This window comes from Homo sapiens, chromosome 11 (assembly GCF_000001405.40).
Source record: "Homo sapiens chromosome 11, GRCh38.p14 Primary Assembly".
Lineage (NCBI taxonomy): Eukaryota > Metazoa > Chordata > Mammalia > Primates > Hominidae > Homo > Homo sapiens.
In genome coordinates, this window is record NC_000011.10 from 125,437,567 (window position 1) to 125,456,329 (window position 18,763).

At 46.4% G+C, this 18,763-nt stretch overlaps 1 protein-coding gene across 3 annotated transcripts in view, besides 3 other annotated features; it reads right to left on the reverse strand.

The window, feature by feature from the left end:
* Positions 1–5,314: 5,314 nt before the first annotated feature.
* FEZ1 (fasciculation and elongation protein zeta 1) overlaps positions 5,315–18,763 on the reverse strand; it is a 53,385-nt gene continuing 39,936 nt past the window's right edge. For all 3 annotated transcript variants that reach the window (NM_005103.5, XM_005271735.3, XM_005271734.3), the window contains exons 6-10: positions 18,269–18,540; positions 16,564–16,644; positions 14,768–14,843; positions 10,936–11,001; positions 5,315–8,545 (exon numbers count right to left, since the gene is read on the reverse strand). In NM_005103.5, the coding sequence (NP_005094.1) occupies positions 8,529–8,545; positions 10,936–11,001; positions 14,768–14,843; positions 16,564–16,644; positions 18,269–18,540 (512 nt within the window). In that variant the 3' untranslated portion in view covers positions 5,315–8,528. The remainder of the gene's footprint in view (positions 8,546–10,935; positions 11,002–14,767; positions 14,844–16,563; positions 16,645–18,268; positions 18,541–18,763) is intronic.
* Positions 7,502–8,365: an enhancer, noted in NCBI's record as "H3K27ac-H3K4me1 hESC enhancer chr11:125314964-125315827 (GRCh37/hg19 assembly coordinates)". NCBI's record gives its function as "activates a minimal SCP1, AML or CMV promoter by ChIP-STARR-seq in primed H9 embryonic stem cells {active_cell/tissue: H9 hESC(primed)}" and the evidence as "EXISTENCE:reporter gene assay evidence [ECO:0000049][PMID:30033119]".
* Positions 12,067–12,361: a silencer, noted in NCBI's record as "tiled region #13231; K562 Repressive DNase matched - State 9:DNaseU". NCBI's record gives its function as "represses a minimal TATA promoter and a strong SV40 promoter by Sharpr-MPRA in K562 cells {active_cell/tissue: K562}" and the evidence as "EXISTENCE:reporter gene assay evidence [ECO:0000049][PMID:27701403]".
* Positions 13,846–13,965: an enhancer, noted in NCBI's record as "active region_5697". NCBI's record gives its function as "activates an Ori minimal core promoter by ATAC-STARR-seq in GM12878 lymphoblastoid cells {active_cell/tissue: GM12878}" and the evidence as "EXISTENCE:reporter gene assay evidence [ECO:0000049][PMID:35858748]".

The following is an 18,763-nucleotide window of genomic DNA, read 5'->3' on the forward strand; positions in this document are numbered from 1 at the left end:
TTCATTCAGTACAAATTCCCGGGTGCCCACTATGTGCCTGGTAACCTATGAGGGACAAAGGATGATGAATTTTGCAGAGCATCACAGACCAAGGGACCGAGCACCGAGGACTGACAGAATGGTGGTCACCTCACACGCTCCATTTCCACTTTGGCATCTTATTTCCATCCCACAGATGAGGCAGGTTTTATTATACCACTTTCCAGCGTATCTTATACTTTTTCTCAGCCTCTCTCTGGGCCAATCTCATTTAGCCCCTTTGCAAATTAAATGCATCTCATTAAATCGAACCCATTTAGGACAATGCCCTTCAGGTGTGTGCATCTTAGTACATCTTTCATTTTAAGACAAGTGTTTGATTTATTTTTCATCTCATTACGCTCTTTAAAATTATGTGCATCTCATTACACTCAATGCACTGAGACAACTTATTTCTGGTATAGACATTACACCCAGTATTATCAGGCAAGAATATGATTTCTTTTCATTTCATTACAAGCCTTACAATTTATGTACATCTCATTACAATCAGCCATTTAAGACAATTCCCTTCAGTTATGTGTATCTCATTATACCTTTTCATTTTTGCATTTTTCTCATCTTATTATTCAGAGATTCTACTACAGGTGTGTATACCTCACATCCACCTGTTATTCCTGTGAATTTCTAGGTTCTAGAAATTCTAGCTGTTTCCACTGATGTATTGCAAAATTTTTATTCTACCAAATTCATTTAAGGCCAGCTCTGCCCATCTGTGGACCTCCCCTGACCCCTTTGCACAGGAAAGAACACTGGGCTCCCCTGGATGTAGTTGAGATTCTGCCCGTAACTTTCCCTTACACACAGGGACCATCTGAAGCAACTTCCCTCATGTGCATATTGAGGGGATTAGAGGAGACGGCACTAGGAGCCCCTTCGGTTGATAGTCCATGAAACTCTAGTCTTGTGGATGACAGCTTAGCAGCTTCTCGGCTTCTCCTGGGAATGCAGCTGCTCTCCTTGGAAGCCACCCACCCTGCTGGAGAAGCTGACATTGACATCATTGCCCAGCTTCCAACAGCCAGACAGCTTCACACGTCTGGCTTCCTTTTCAACTGGAGAACACTGTGAATCGTGTGGGGACACATTTTGGAAGGAGGTGAAATATTAAATAACTGCTCTGTTATGATGGAATCTTCCCCACCTCCCAATCCAATGGTGTCTTCATCTCTCCTCCAACCCCTAACCCAGGGCTTCTCAGCTGGAATGCACTTTAGAATTGCTGAGCAAGCTTCAGTTACAGGCACCCAAGTTCTATTCTCCATCTACTGAATCAGAAACTCACAGGGTGCAGCACAGGTAGGTGCATTTTTAATAGCACCCCAGAGATTCTCAACCTGATTCCACAAAAGGACCTGCAGTGAGTCGCTCTGAGCGGAAAACACCTGATGCTCTCAGTATTGCTCGTCTCAGCTGAATTTGTGTCTTAACAAGAATCCAAGCCTAGAGTTTAAAAAAAAAATCATTTCTCAGCCCTGAAAAGGGTACTGTGGGTCAGTAATCCCAACTCACCCGTGCCATATAGGAACCCTGCCCACGGAACACTAAATTGTCATCTCCTGGCCAGGCACAGTGGGTCACACCTGTAATCCCAACACTTTGGGAAGCCGAGGCAGGAGGACTGCTTGAGCCCAGGAGTTTGAGACCAGCCTAGACAACATAGTGAGACCCCCCCCACACCATATGTACAAAAATAAAAATAAAAATATATATAGCCAGGCATGGTTGCCCGTGCCTGTAGTCCCAGCTACCCAGGAGGCTGAGGTGAGAGGACTGCTTGAGCCCGGGAGGCTGAAGCTGCAGTGAGCCATGATCATGCCACTGTACTCCAGCCTGGATGACAGAGCAAAACCTCGTCTCAAAAAAAAAAAAAAAAAAAAATGTCATTTCTCTTTACCTTACACTGCGCACTACCTCCCAGGGCAAAGAAACCCAAGTTGTTACACAGAGCCAACTGATCCCTCCAACTTCCACCCAGTGATCTGAGCTCTGCCTTCTGCAGACAGAGGGAATATGTAGGAACCCTCCAGACTGCATACTTGTGGTCTTCAGGGCTTATGTAATTTGTAGCAGCAGCAGTTCAGGAGATCTACAGGACCTTTCTCCAACCTCTTCAACTAATCCTCATGTTCCCACCTGTCTTGCCTATCCATAAAGCACAGGAGGCTTCCCTGAGCATGTCTGCAGTGGTCTGTGTGTTTTTCTTCTGTGAACCCACCCATCTCTTTGCCAGTGGAAATAGAGTCTGTTCTCTAAGCTCAAAAATAAATGTGACTTTTCACTATCCCTCCTCCACCCCTTCCCTTGAATGAACCTGCTGAGAAGCCAGAATACACTCCCACTCTTGCCACTTCACTTTGTCTTCTTGTCCAGATGTACTTGGAGGCCGCTAGTTCCAGAATCCGCAAGCACCAGGGCTCCCTGGGCTACCACTAAGCAGGATTTAATGAGCATAAAGGGTAGGTGTAAAGCTGGTTTTAGGCCAGGCATGGCGGCTCATGCCTGTAATCCCAGCACTTTGGGAGGCCGAGGCTGGTGGATCACTTGAGGTCAGGAGTTCGAAACCAGCCTGGCCAACATGATGAAACCCCATCTCTACTAAAAATATTTTAAAAATTAGCAGGGCGTGGTAGCAAGCAGCTGTAATCCCACTTACTCAAGAGGCTGAGGCAGGAGAATCACTTGAACCTGGAGGCAGAGGTTGCAGTGAGCTGAGATCACACCATTGCACTCCAGCCTGGGCGACTAGTGAAACTCCAAAACCCCATCTCAGAAAAAGAAAAAAAAAAGCTCGTTTTAGGGCAACAGGCTAGGTTGTACTTGTCTTGTTTTGATTTTGTTTTCGGGTTTTTTGTGCCTGTTGAATTGAAAAAATGGTCACGTCCCCAAGGCTAAAGACGCAACAGAACCAGCACTTTCTCTTTTCAAAGTTTACTAGGAAAAAATAAAAGTCACACTTCATTGAGCACGTAGCATATATGCTAGACACTAAAGATTATTTAAAACAACTGTGGGAGAATTGCTAGTATTATTAATATTAGTATTCCCATTTTTTAAATGAGGAAACCAAGGCTCAGAGAAATTAAGTAATTTTCTAAAAAATTATTTAGCTTAATATGTATCTAGAGCTGGATTTGAACTCAAGGCACAAAGCCCATGCTCCTTTTAGGAGATAAGCTGCCTCCCCAATCATTGGCTGACCCAGGCTGGCCTTTGGAGTCAAGGAGAGAGGCCCCCTCTGTCCTCAAATCCCAAGAGGTGCTTGTATCCCTGCACCTGCCTATGCCTTTCTCCTCCAAGGTCCTGGATGAAACAGCATCTAAGGATGTGGGCTTCAAGCCCCAGCCTGCTTCTCCCATAGCAGAGCACCTACTCTGTCACCCACCAGCTCCTGACTTGACCATCTGCATTTCGGGGAGAAGGAGCGGGACTCACGTCATCTGAACTTAAGAAAATCCTCTTCATGCTATTCAAGTAGCTCTGCTATGGGAGGGGGTTAGAAAGCAACTCATGAAGGAGACGCTGCTGCTGGGATAAAGGAGGGGGCAGTAGCACCGCCGTCGGCACTGTTGGTGATGGTTGTGCAGATGTGTTTTGGAAATTGGTGTGTGTCAGGAAATGTTGAGTCCCAGTGACCTGTCGGTGATGACAGCTGATATCCAAACCTTCTCTCCTGATCTGTGCAGCTGATTCCTTTCCTTTCTTGCTTGGAAGGCAAGGCTAGGTTCTTAGGTTCTTAGCCTTGACTGCTGAGAGTAAGGGCAAAACAGGTTGGAAGATGGAAGAAAGACAAAGGGAAGGAAGTTAATCCCTGAGAGACAGGCATAGAATGGGTCCCCAGGCAAGAGTCGGGGGAGTCAACGGAGAGCATAGGACAAGCCGGAAACCTTGGGATGTTGTCAGATCAGGCAACACTTTGGTAGGAAAAAATAAAACGACTCTGTTGAAGGAGGAGAGAGGAGAGGCAGAAGTGGAAATACACTGGACTGGTATAGAGACACCGGGCTCCTCCATAACTTGCTTCTTTGGTTCTGTGATTCATTTTCCTGTTCTCTGGGAGGCTGGGAATGGAAGAGAGTGAGAAGCAGGACACAGGGGTAGAGAAAAGAGAAAGGGAGAAAGAGAGAAACTAGATGTGCATGTGTCTCTGGGGTTTTTCAGACAAAGCTGTTATCAAAATGCCAACCAGCTCCTGCATGGCTAATTTGCATATTCCATGTTGTGCTCTTTGAAGCAGGATGAATATGCATGAGGGCTTGGGCGGGGTGCAGAGCTGCTGGGCTGTGGGCTAAGGTGGCTCATTGTTCTTTTAGAAGAAAGGCATTAGTAAGAAACCAAAGCACTTTCCCAGCGAGCAAAGTGGCCTTGGCTTCCCTTCCCTGATGAAGGGAAGAGAGCAAACCTCAGGCTCAGACAGAAACCCTAACGACCATTCTCTCATCCTCTCAAGGAAATAAATAATCAGGCGCCATCAAGAACGCAAGTATCTCTTCTCCAAGAGTAGCATTTAATTACTTTCCACTCCACGCATACTAATTACGGAGGCTGACTGGGTGATGAGAGTCACCTCTCCTGGCTTCCCTGGAAACGAAGCTGCCACTCCCCATTTCTTGCTTCTGCTGCAAAGAAAGCTGGGCGTCCTGGGGTGCTTTTTGCCTTTGACCTCTGGTGAGACCCCTAAACCTCTCAGTGACCGGGCTGTGGTGGGAGTGCCTGGGACATAGTGGGTGCTCAAAAGAGGCTTGGGCATGGACTCGGTGAAGTCCATTAAGACTTGGGTTATAATGAACCCTAAGACACCTGGAGGACCAGGTCTCCTCATTAACGGTCTCCATCCCTTCTTCCCTGACCACCAGTGGAAGATAGTCATTCTCCAGACATTAGTCCAGCAAGTATGAAAAGGGTTTATTTAACTTTAAAAATCCAATTTGTCCCACAAACTTAGGGTCACAAAATGCTCCCTTTGGGTTTTCTTTCTGAAGTATCACATTGGTCTCCTGAAGTAGAGACGAAAGGATAGAGACTGTTGGAATATTCCATTTGAAAAACAGTTTTTCCCGCATGACCATTTGTTTCAATTACACATAAATAAAGGCTGGCCTCTGGTGCCATGGTGTTTTCCTTTTTTTTTTTTTTTTTTTTTTTTTGAGATAAAGTCTTGCTCTGTCACCCACGCTGGAGTGCAGTGGCACAATCTCAGCTCATTGCAACCTCCGCCTCCTGGGTTCAAGTGATTTTCCTGCCTCAGCCTCCCAAGTAAGCTGGGACTACAGGCGTGCACCACTACAGCTGGCTAATTTTTGTATTTTCAGTAGAGAGGGGGTTTCACCATGTTGGCCAGGCTGGTCTCAAACTCCTGACCTCAGGTGATCTGCCCACCTCGGCCTCCCAAAGTTCTGGGATTACAGGCATGAGCCACCACGCCCGGCCCTGTGGTGGAGTTTTCTTACCAGAACTTGACCAGACTAGGCCTAGCAAAATCCTTTAATTGATGGAAACATACCTCATTTATAGGCTGTATTTGCCAGACAGACCTCTGACCTACCTAGGAGGGCTCCCTGCAGACCGTGGCTCTCTGGCACACTTTGCGGAGTGCGGACATCCTAGACAGGACTTGAGTTTTGCAATCAGGATTGACTCAGGCCTGAAAATCAGTTAATTCTTGGGACTCTTCTGTGAGGTTTCTACAATCCAGAAAGACCAGAAGAGGGAAAAGCTGAGGGAAGACAATTGGGTTCACCTGATAATCACACTAGCCACAAATTCCCTAGGTTCAGCATTGAAGAGTCAAGGATTCAGCAACTCTGAAAACCTAGGGCAGAGTTTCTCTAATCCTTGATGCAAATACAAGTTGCAGGGAGATTTAGCTTAATACGTAGTAGAGCTGCATTTGAACTCAAGGCACAAAACCCAGGCTCCTTTTAAGAGAAGAGCTGCCTCCCTTTTAAAGGGAGACCTTGTTAAAATGCAAATTCTGACTTAGTAGGCCTGATGTGGGGCCTGAGATTTTGCATTTCTAACAAGCTTCTAAGTGCGGTCAGTGCTGCTGGCCTGGAAAGCACACTTTGAATAGGAAGAACACAGGGAAGGGCAATGCAAAACCATGAGGAATTGATTTCATATTCCCCTTAAACTCCTGATAGACGGACAAACAAGAGAGAAAGGAGGAGCCACTGTTTTCAGCCTGCCCTGCTCACCTCCTCCTAGCCAGAGTGTATCCCCAACACTCGAGATTTATTTTTAACTCCCAGCAGCTTTGATTAGCTTGTCTCTGCCGCTTCAGACACCTGCTGGCAGGATAAATTGGGGGAAAGGAGTGGCTGACCCAGATCTGACAAATCCAAGGCAGGAAGAAAAGCTCTCAGGAATTCACTGCTTCCCCTTTGCTGAGGCTGGTGAAAAACCCCGTCGCCGGCAGAGTGCTAAACATGCTAATGACCTCACACCACTAATGACCCTGGGCATGTTCAGCCTTAGCACCAGTGAACTGCCGAACTGAATCCATGCCCTTTTATCACAGGACGAGTTGTCACTTCCATGCTCCTGTGGCAGCCGGGGCTCTATCTATGGAGAAGCTCTGCTCTGGGCAGATGCCTGGACTAGAGCTTTAGGCATTGCAGCAGTTTTCCTGGGGGGATAAGTCTCCGCCACCCCTAGCTAAGATTGCTAGTGTTCTGCTTCTGGAAAAGCAGAAGCCGAGCTAGGCGCGGTGACTCACGCCTATAATCCCAGCACTTTGGGAAGCCTAGGAGGGCAGATCGCCTGAGGTCGGGAGTTCGAGACCAACCTGACCAACATGTAGAAACCTGGTCTCTACTAAAAATATAAAATTAGCTGGGTGTGGTGCTGCATGCCTGTAATCCCAGCTACTCGGGAGGCTGAGGCAGGAGAATCACTTGAACGTGGGAGGCGGAGTTTGCGGCGAGCTGAGATAGCGCCATTGTACTCCAGCCTGAGCAACAAGAGTCAAACTCCGTCTGAAAAAAAAAAAGCAGAGGCCCAGGAAGGGAGGCAGGGCACTGGGAGTGCCTTCTGTGTCCCCTAGATGGATTCTGTGGCCTTCTGTGGAGCTGCTGATGTGATAAAGTATGGCTTTCTCTGTGGCATGCTTAGTTCAAGCAGACACTAAACTCCTGGGAATCAATGGAAGTCTCACTGGATAAGAAACCTAAATGCCAGCCTGACTCTACCACTTCCTACACAGCCTTGGGCGAGCTACTGAACATCTCTGCTGCTTGGTTTCCTCCTCTGCAAAATCGGGATCATACTAGCACCTGTTTACACGTGGTGATGCTGTGATGTGTGCTAATGCACGATGAAGCCAGTGCAGGCTACAGCAAGTGCCCAGTACAAGTTTTTGCTTTCAGAGGAGGATATGGGAATTGGCAGGCTCAATGTCTTTCAAGCCAGAAGACGGAAGCCAACAGAATTCAGACTGTGGTGAGATCGAGCCAGCATCCGGGATACGAGGAGACCTTCGCCTGCTGGTTGGTCAAGGCTGGCAGCTGCCTGCCATCAATGCTGGAGACAGTGCGAGGAGTCAGAGCTGCTGTTCATGGAGGGCCGCGGGAAGGGCCAGGACAGCACTGCAAAGTCAAAGGACACTGTTGCCAGGGGTCGTTGGGGACAAACAGGGAGTGGTGGTTTCGTCAAGTACAGGAAACAAGTTGCAGTCCCCTACGTTGGGAAAGCTCAGCAGAGCTGACTTCCCGCAGGCCCTGAGCCTCCAGGTCCCCGTGGACAGCCTGGGGAGGGTCTCCAGGGCCAGCCTGGCCATCCCACCAGGAGATCTGCAGCTGTGTGGCTCCTCCATGAGGCCCACTTTCTATCTGCTAATTGCACACTCTCACCCCCGTCTCACCCACTCTGACCAGCTCCTTTCTGCAGCCCCTGGTGCAGCTCCCTTGCATGTGGCTGAGCAGCAAAAACTGAGGTTGCAGAGGGTCTCCTTCTGCCTATGCTGTATGCAGCCCCACTGTGTCCCATGATCCCACCACGACCCACAACAGGACATGCGCCCGGTCCCTAAACACAGCACTGGCTGCCACAGGCCACAGGCCGGCGTGCAAAGAATGCTATACAGCCCGTCTCTGGAGTCTGGAGCAGAGGGCTAATGGACATCACACTCCAAAGCACATGAAGAATATTAATTAAATGAAGGTTTTATTTCAAAATTAGTCTTAAGAGTATAAGCTGTTTTTGAGGGCTGTAGCCAGACTACATAATGAGCGGTGAAAGCGGCTGCCTTCCCCTCTCCTGACACCAGCAAGGGGGAGGCACCATCACCGGCCCTGCCCCATCATGCATCCAATGATTACTAGCACTAGAAGCCAACGGCAAAGGACCCCGCGCGCTTGCTCGTGTTTAATCCAGGTTAAGCTATACACGTTTAAATACATGTCGGAGGTTACATGGTCTCATGCAGTCCCTGTGATGGAATGACTCTTGCTCAGTGACCTCCTGCAGCGAGGCTGCTCCAAAGGGCAAGGTTAGGTAGGGCAGAGCACTGCAACGAGAAGAGAGGAGGGGAGAGCGGTCAGAACACAGTTGCAGGTGGGGACCTCCGAGCCCTGGATAGCCCTAGCTGAGAGCAGTCACACCAGCTCCTGAGTGGTGACAGCCCCCACTTAGTGCCTAGAATAAGGGAGAGACAATGGCAGGTGGTTGCTGGTTATAATAACTAAGCGTGTAGTCTCCGGGGCCTGAGTTCAAATCCTGGATCCAGCCATTACTAACTACATGACCTTAGGGAAATTAACTTCACCTTTCCATGCTTGTTTCTTCATCAATACAATAGAACGTACCTGCGCCTACCCCGCAGGGTTGTTGAGAGGCATGTGGCAAGTGCTGAGTAAATATTAATCACTTGTACAAATTCAGTGACAACTCAGTGGCTCGTGAGGGGTAAAGTCCAGCCCTCCGACTACCAAATTTATATAACCTGTTTCTATAATCCTCCTTTGAGAACCTCCTTTGAGAAATGTGCTGCTCTTTTAAAATCTTTGAGTCACAAACCCTTTCTGTGGTTTTTTGTGTTTTGTTGTTGTTGTTGTTGTTGTTTTGTTTTGTGGTTTGTTTGTTTGTTTTTTTGAGACAGGGTCTTGCTGTGTCACCCAGGCTGGATGCAGTGGTGTGATCACAGCCCCCACTGCAGTCTCAGCTCCTGGGTTCAAGTGATCCTCTCACCTCAGCCTCCTGAGTAGTTGGGACTACAGGCGCGCACCACTACACCTGGCTGATTTTTTTTTTAATTGAGACGCGGTCTCACCATGTTGCCCAGGCTGGACAAGTTATTTTTAATGTTTACTCTAAGTTCCTCCTGCTGAAATTTAAGATTAGTCCTTCTGATCCTTATAGAAACAATATATCTCAGGATTTCTTAGCTATAGGTCCCACAAATATGGTCCCTCTGCAACCGTACATAGTTTTGTGTGCATGCAGGACAAAAAACAATAAAATAATAGATCTAGACAGTGAGCAATCCTCAAGGACTATTAACATCACAAAAGGAAAGACAATCAGACAATATATGTCACCCCATGGAAGTCTGGAAACCTATAACCACCTATAATGTAGTGCTTATCAAAAAATCGGAAGCTGTATCTGATCAGGCTTCCAGTTCTATCAGTTCACAGGCAATAAAGAAGACAGGAGAACATATTAAATTACACCATGGGGATGAAATTAGCAAAAATCCACAATGAGGAAATTCTATGGCACAAACAACCTAGTTTCTCCAACAAATGCATTTCAAGAAATGGAAGAGAGAAAGAAAAGGGGAACCTATATACATCAAAGAGATGTAAGAGACATATTATTATCTAATTGCAACCTACTGATCTTTATTGGCCCCTGATTCAAACAAATAAACTGAAAAATACTTTATGGGAAAAACAGGGAATACTGATTGGATAGTCAGTACTAAGAAACTCTTGGCTGGGCACAGTGGCTCATTCCTGTAATCCCAGCACTTTGGGAGGCCAAGGCGAGTGGATCACCTGAAGTCAGGAGTTTGAGACCACCCTGGCCAACATGGTGAAACCCCGTCTCTACTAAAAATACAAAAATTAGTTGAGCATGGTGGCAGGCGCCTGTAATCCCAGCTACTTAGGAGGCTGAGGCAGGAGAATTGCTTGAATCCAGGAGGCGGAGGTTGTAGTGAGCTGAGATCACGCCATTGCACTCCAGACTGGGTGACAGAGCGAGATTCCATCTCAAAAAAAAAAAAAAAGAAAGAAACTCTTCATTTGTTTTAGTTGTGAAATGGTATTATGGCTATGTTTTCCTCAAGAGTTCCTATGTTTTAGAAATGCATACCGAAATAGTTATGCATGAAAACTATGACAGAGATTTGCTTTAAAATAACATGGGAGGGGAGAAGTTGGGTAGAGGCGTAAATGAAATAAGCCTGGCCGGGACTTAATAACTGTTGATGCCAGCTCATCAGTACCTGAGAGTGTATTATGCCATTTCCTCTACTCTTGTATGTACAACCAGTTTCCATAAGACAAGGTTAAAAAGTTATGAAAGGGTGTAGTCAATTATGTCTCCAGCTTCCTTTCAAGTGCTTGAAAAGTATTAAATTATCATCAGGTTTTGTTTTTCCCAACTAAATACTAAGTAGCCCAAACTCTGCAGAATTTTCACAATAAGTCCTTTGTTGGTTTGTTGCTCCAAGGAAAGTCACTGGTGACTCGGGGGTGATGGAATCTCCTCCTGCGGCCTCCTGGCAACACCCAAAGGGAAAACCTATTACTCCAAAGCCTTTCAATTGTCCCTGATTTCCCTGGCCCCTGCCTGGTCTGGTCTGGCATGGGCAAGCTGGGAAGGTTCCCTAACTGGAGCAGGAGCTCCAGAGAACCCCTTCTGCTCCAGGAGGCCTGGGGCTGCTCTTACCTTTTAAAATGTAGTCCGTTAGCAAAGTAGGCACCTTCTCATTATCCTCCTTCATGGCAAAGAGAACTAGGAAAGGAGACAGAGAGAGGAACTAAGATACCATCTGGTCAGAGGTTCACTTCTAGGGCCACATGACCCACCAGCCCAGAGTGAGAGAGAAATGATTCAAAAGAACCAGACATTTATTGAGTATTGAGCAAAAGTCTAGAAGGCTCTATCAGGGGTCAGCATTTCAGGGGCAAGGGCTAAAAAACTACCTATCCGGTACTATGTTCACTACCTGGGTGACAGGTTTAGTTTCAGTTGTAACCCAGACCTTGAGCCCAGGCATTCAAGACCAGCCTGGGCAATATGGCAGAACCTCATTTCTAATTAAAAAAAAAAAAGATAGCTGGGTGTGGTGGCACACGCCTGTAGTCCAAAGTACTTGAGAGGCATCACGCAATATGCCCCCGTAACAAACCTGCACATGGTGATAGACGAGAACACAGCAAGAGCCACAGTGTTTGTCTCTAGGTAGTGGACCTACTGGTGACTTTCTTTTCTTTTTTATTTTTGAGACAGGATCTCGCCCTGCCACACAGGCTGAAGTGCAGTGGCGTGTTCTCAGCTCACTACAGCCTCAAACTCCTGGGTTCAAGTAATCCTCCCCCTCTCAGCCTCCCAAGTAGCTGAGACTTACAGGCACGTGCCACTATGCCCAGCTAATTTTTTTTTTTTTTTTAGTAAAGATGAGGTTTTGCCATGTTGCCCAGGCTGGTCTTGAACTCCTGGGCTCAAGCAATCTTCCCCACTTGGCCTCCCAAAGTGACCTGTGATCATGCCACTGCACTCCAACCTGGGCAACAGAGTGAGACTCTGTCTCAAAAACAAGAAAAAGACCATCCTGGACAACATAGCAAGACTTTGTCTCTATAAAAAAAAAAAAAAAAAAAAAAAAAAGAAGAAGAGGAAGAAAAGAAAAATAAGAGAGAGCTATATGTACAAGACATAGTTATCAGTGAAGAAAGGTTACAGAACATTTATTAACTTTATAATTAAATGCTAATGTTCATAGAAAAAAAATCTAGAACAATAATACATGAAACTGTTAAGTAGTTATCTCTGAGTGTAAGACAATAGGGGATGTTCTTTTCTATGCTGCATTTCTGTGGGGTCTGGCTTTTCTCAATGAGCATGTATTACTTTTGTAAGCCAAGAAAACACTAAAGATCAACTGGCACTGATAGCTAGGGTCAGAAGGCAGCTGCAACAGTGGGATTGCCACTTCATTTCGATATCCTTGTCCTCCTTTGATTGATTACCTTGACTAGTTTCAAGACAGGGTAATGAAACTTGAATCCAAGAATTAGGAGTGAGTGAGGAAGAAAATCCAATGGTGGCGTGAGTCAGCAGCCAGGTCCAGAAAAAGAGACTCAACCTGAGGCCATTGAGGGGTTGGTTTGTTTCTGTTTTATTTCTTCTGTATCTTTAGACATGTATTCATCTCAGCTTAAGTGGATTCTAGGGGGTCCTGGTTTCTTCTGGGTTTTTTTTTTTTTTTGAGACGGAGTTTCACTCTTGTCATCCAGGCTGGAGTGCAGTGGTGCGATCTCAGCTCACTGCAACCTCCGCCTCCCGGGTTCAAGCGATTCTCCTGCCTCAGCCTCCCAAGTAGCTGGGATTACAGGCGTGCACCACCACATCTGGCTAATTTTTTGTATTTTTAGTAGAGATGGGGGTTTCACCATGTTGGCCAGGCTGGTCTCAAACTCCTGACCTCAGGTGATCCACCCGCCTCGGCCTCCCAAAGTGCTGGGATTACAGGCGTGAGCCACCATACTCGGCCTGTTTTATTTTTTTCTGCATTTTTAGACATGCCTTCATTTCAGCTTAGTTGTCAAGAACACTTTGCAACTGAGCATAAGCAGACTAAATGCCACACCACGAAGATCACGTAAAAATACAATAATTGCTCTTGCCAATACGTATCTAAATTAATCTCCAAAATCTAAAATTTACAAGGATTGGCTAGTCGCAGGAGCTGGTCTTTGGCCTATGTACTTAGTTCAAAGAGTAGAAGAGAGAAGAGGCATTGTTCACAAATTCATATGAGGATCTGCCAAAAAAGAGAGGCTTCATAACCTACAGGAGAATTGGTATTCAGAAAAGATGGCAGGTTTTTTTTCTAAAAGCAATAAAATGTTGGAAGGTAGTATATCCACATGATAGAAGAGATAGCCATAAAAAGAACATTAACAAAGTGTTAACTAATGTGACTAAAATCATGACACAAAATTTTACAGCCAGTATAATCTCAACTATATAGAAAAGATACAAAATATTAAGTCTGAAAAGCACCAAAATGGTAACCATAGTGGAGTAGACAATGAGTTATTTATTTTTCTTTGTTTGCTTTTCCTTATTTCCAAAGTAGTCTAAATGATGGATATACTCTAGCTATAATTTTTTTAATGAACTTAAAAAATGTAAACAAAACCACTCAAAATAGAAAAAAGTCTGTTTCTTAATTAAAATGAAAAGATTTCACACTGAATTCCTGAATGGGTATCTGCAACAAATTAATAGCTATTTATTTTTTTGAGCTATGATAGAATACTTTACATATATCAACCTTCATAATTTGTCCAAATTACTTTCCAAATGTAACTTGTGTGAAAACACAAACATCTATAAATGTCAGTTCATCTCTATTTTCTCCCTTAAAAAAAAAGAAACTTAGTGCATATTTATGCAAATAAAGGAGTTTACAATGAGTTAAGGACAAGTCACTGTACTTTGATTTTAAAATTCCTGATTCTCAAGGACACAGTGTCTATTGATGCAGGCATGATGTAGGCAGGATTTCTGTTTGCCAGAACCTCCTGCTTTCACTCTCCAAATTGACAAAAAATGAAACGTTTGGTCACCTTCAGCACCAGGCCCCAGCAGGTATCCATCCTCCTCAGCTGAACAGAAGCTCAACTTCCCCTCTCCTTGGGTATCCAGTAGCCCCGCACTGGCCCCTTCCCTCCAGAACAGGCTGCAGTGGGCGGGGCCTCGTTAGCTGTCACTCTCTGCAGGGCACGGTTGCCAAGGAAATGGAATTTCCCTCGTGATCCTCTGGGCCTGTCACCACATCTCAGCCTAGGATTTTTCTCGTCCTAAGAGGGCCAAGCTGACACTGATGGCTAACACCATGTGCCCCCCAGCCCTTTGGGGGTCGTACTGTTTGATGTATATAAACAGTTACTGTCTACAAAAGGCTCTTTGTTACACACTGTTTTCCCTCATAGTTCAGAATGTTTATTAATATTTGACAATAGAGCAAAGTGGAGGAGAGGAGGCAGTCACTTCCTGGAAGGAAAGCTGGACTCTATTTTTTCCAGTCAGCCTTACCCCACCCAAGAAACCTTGCTTCTCATTAAAAATACAGCCAGACCCAGAGACCAGGCGCCCTGCTTCAAGGGGCACAAGTGCCGACCAGGCAACCTCAAGTTGCAGGGAGAGAGAGAACAGGGAGGCAGAGGATGCCAAGCCTTGGGAACTGCAGGGGAAAACAAAAAGTCCCCTGCACCAGCACCCCAACCTCTTTCACCAGCTCATTTTTTTTTCCCCCAGCAGGCCTCTTCCCTTATGGGAACCAGGAGAAAGAAAAAACAGCTCTGGTTATCACTGCAGAGTATTTTAATTTTACACTGTGCGGGAGGATGTGACGCAGTAATTTGGAGGGTATTTTGGCCCATGTAAACCTGCTTTGAGGAGTCTCGGGCCTGCGGCACGGAGGTACAACGTACAGGCAGGAAGGGAGAAAAAGGAGCCACTGATCTGGCTGAGAACAAGAGGAACTCACTGTTTGTCAGCATCTGCAGGTCTTCCACTGAGGGAGGAGAGGCTTTCTTCTCGTAAGGAATGACTGTGTTCAGATACTGCAAGACAAACAGCATGCAGGGGGCTTGAGACAGAAGACATGCTTCCTCTGGGTTGAGATTTAGCCTTTCTCTAAGACACACACTGCAAATCTGACCTTCTCTGAAACATTCATGGTCACTGGTACGTCACTGTTTCAGAACTTCTTACCCCTCTTTAGGGAATGTCTCTTTAAAAGTAAGACTTTCCCACATTTCTCTCCATCCCAACTTCTAGATTCTTCCTACACTACAAACTTCTCTGTTATTTAGGAATCCTGGGGAGCTTTTTCTCCTTTAGACTGAAAGCAGAGAATAAATCCAAGGGGATTATATTTTCTTATTCTTTGCAGTGCAATTTGAGAAGGAATTGTTTGTCTTTTGTCAAAAAAGATATGCAAGAGAACCTCAACCCCGCCCAGGGTCTCTGATGTCAGATTTGCTCCCTCTGCTGGATGTCAGGTGCTCCTACAACAAAACCAGCATCAGGGCCTAGTGGGCTGTCAAAGGAGTCTCAAGGAAGCCTGAGGTGGTGAGTGCCAGAGCTCTAGATCAAAGCTAAGAAGCTCACTTTTTTTTTTTTTTTTGAGACAGAGTCTCGCTCTGTCACCCAAGCTGGAGTGCAGTGGCTTGATCTCGGCTCACTGCAACCTCCACCTCCCGGGTTTAAGCGATTCTCCTGCCTCAGCCTCCCAAGTAGCTGGGATTACAGGTGCCTGCCACCACACCTGGCTAGTTTTGTATTTTTAGTAGAGATGAGGTTTCACCATGTTGGCCAGGCTGGTCTCGAATTCCTGACTTTGGGTGATTTGCCCACCTCGGCCTCCCAAAGTGCTGGGATTACAGGCGTGAGCCACCGCGCCCGGCCAGAAGCTCACATTTTAGTCTTGGCTTTGCCACTGACAGTGTGTGTGGCTTTGGAAAAATGCCTTGAATCTCCAGGCCATAGTTCTCACTGCCATAAAACAAGAGGACTGGGATCGATGCTGCTAAAATCTCTTCCCCTTCTCTAGACTCTCTAGAATTCTAGAGTTCTAGAATTCTAGCACTTAGAATTCAGCTACAAATATGTTTAAAACATATACACTTTCATGTACACTCATTCCACCATCTCAAACTTTCTGTTCACGTGCCAGCCATGTCTATTAGATTATACACTCCATGAGGACAGGGGTCAGGACTTTTCACCTTTGCACCTGAGGGCTTAACAACAGAGCTTAGCACATAGCAGGCGCTTGATAAAAGTTGTGAATGCTGTCTTAATAACCAGAAATGCAAGCTATGTCACAGGGAAATTACTGAGCCAACAAAAAGCCACAGCATGGGTTCCAACCAGAGCTGGGAAGCTGCAGAGGCAGTCTTAGTGGGAATGGCTTGGCAGGTGATCCAGTGTGGTGGAAAGTTAACTAAACTCTAGGATGGGATCTATCATCAAATGGACTCCCTCTTAATGCATTTCATCCTTAAAACAACTTAATTCTTAGACCTACAAGCAGTGTTGAGTTTTAAGTCTTGCCCATGTCCTAGAACACTAGAGCTCAAAAAAAAAAAAAAAAAAAAAGTTTGCCTTTTAAAAAGATATTCTCTGTTCCTCCTTAAGAGGAGAAAAAAGTGTTAGGACCCCTAACCCCCTAAATAAATGCTGGGATAATTCTGGTGAGTCACTGTCCCCCTGCGTTGCTGGGGAGGCCAAGCTGCAGGAGTCTAGGAAGAGAGCTTGGAGCAGGGAGACTACGCGTACCTGTTTGTCAGTTCCTGAGGAGCCAAAGGTCTGGCGGATGCCACTCTGCAGAATGTTGGAGATGCCTTCCATGCTGAAGCGCTGTGGGGGAGAGAGACTCAAGAAGGGCAAATGCTTCTTGCTACACTGTCACCACACCCAGGGACCTCTCAGCTACCAGGCTGTCCCAGATAACGCCCCAGGGTTCTGTGACTAGACAGTAAGTGTAAGACACTGGCTTACAGAGACAGGCCAGAATTGAAGCCTGAGCTTTGCAAGAATAAACAGAGTCTCAAGAACTCTTATCTTAGTAAGTCCCTCAGGGCTACAAGACCCCTCTGCATCCCCCAGTTTTCCTCCTTTTATCCTCCATCATGCAAATAGAAAAATAAAGCAGTTCAGTCAAACTTAAATGAACCATGATGCAAAGATCTTAGGGGAAAACAAAATGTTCAGCTATCAGAAGAGGCTGTCTTAAAGCAACTGTCCTGATGGGGGAAGTTTTTTTCAAAATGTACATGCGGAGAACTAATTCCATAGGTCTGTGATAGAGCCTAGGGAAAGGCATTTTGAAAAAAACTCCTTAGATAATTCTACTGAGCTCCCCTGATTAAGAAGCATGAGTGGCTGGGCGCAGTGGCTCACACCTGTAATCCCAGCACTTTGGGAGGCCGAGGCGGGGAGATCACGAGGTGAGGAGTTTGAGACCAGCCTGACCAACATGGTGAAACTCCGTCTCTACTAAAAATACAAAAATTAGCCAGGCGTGGTGGTGTGAACCTGTAATCCCGGCGACTCAGGAGGTTGAGACAGGAGAATCGCTTGAACCCGGGAAGCAGAGATTGCAGTGAACCGAGATCGCACCACTGCACTCCAGCCTGGGCAACAGAGTGAGACTCCATCTCACCAAAAAAAAAAAAAAGAAAAAAAAAATGAACCATGAGAACCAGGGGTTTGGGTTAAACCCAAAAATAGAACAATAGAACAATAAGGCATCTGGGGCCAGGCACGGTGGCTCATGCCCGTAATCCCAACACTTTGGGAGGCCAAGATGGGCAAATCACCTGAGATCAGGAGTTTGAGACCAGCCTGGCCAACATGGTGAAACCCCATCTCTACTAAAAATACAAAAATAATCCAGGAGTGGTGGCATGAACCTGTAATCCCAGCTACTAGGGAGGCTGAGACAGGAGAATTGCTTGAGCCCAGGAGGCGGAGGTTGCAGTGAGCCGAGATGGTACCATTGCACTCCAGCCTGGGCAAAAGAGTGAGACTCTGTCTCAAAAAATAATAACAATAATAATAAGGCACCTGATCATTTTCAATCACTGAAACACCTTAGCACGCCCTAAAGAGACCAGTCAGGACTGGAACCTGGGACACAAGGAGGGATTTGGACCCAGAATTCTGAGGCCCATCTCAAGACTCCCAACACGAAATACCCTCACTCCACTTTCTTTAAGGTCTTGCCTACAGAGAACACAAGCCAAATTCAATTATTTCCTAATGTACACACTGTCTTCCTGGGTTAGACTGTGAGCCCTTTGGGGGAGTGGAGGAGATAGGTGATATCTTCTCCCTTTCTGACCCCCTGTCTGTCACAGTGTGCTGCTCACCACCACTGCTCGGTAAACGTTGATGAGTCCCCTGCAGGGTTGGTAGGGCACTGAAACGGGCAGGGTTGGAGGTTGGAGGCACCCAGTCTTCCACCTGGTTGTTCACCTACCTTGAGAGGCATCTGGTTTCCCTTCTCTATCCGGCTGCTCTGCAGGCTCAGCCCTTTCTCTTTCCGCCTCTTTTTCATCAGTTCTCGCTGCTCCTTCTGCTTGTTCTGAACCTCAATAAGCACCGTGATAAAGGAGTTCTTCACTTCCTTCTCAAACTCCAGCTCGTCCCGGCGGGCCAGCTGCTGCACCAGCTCCTCCGAGAAGTCACGGATGGCACCCTCCACCTGGTCCAGCAGCTCGGTCAGCTCAGACCCAGACATGTGCCTCAGCCCTGCAGGGGAAGACCGTCTCCCGCATAACACCTGCATCCACACCAGAGCCCGCTGGGGAGGCTCCTGGGGCCACCACCAATCAAGATGGGACTGCCCCTCAGAGGAGATCCCTTCCAACTCCTTAAAGATCCAAGAAAGACCTTCACAATTTACGAGCACGCCAGGAAGGCGGGGGCCTGTGTACTGACTGCAGAAGAGAACACCCCTCTCAGGAAACAAAGG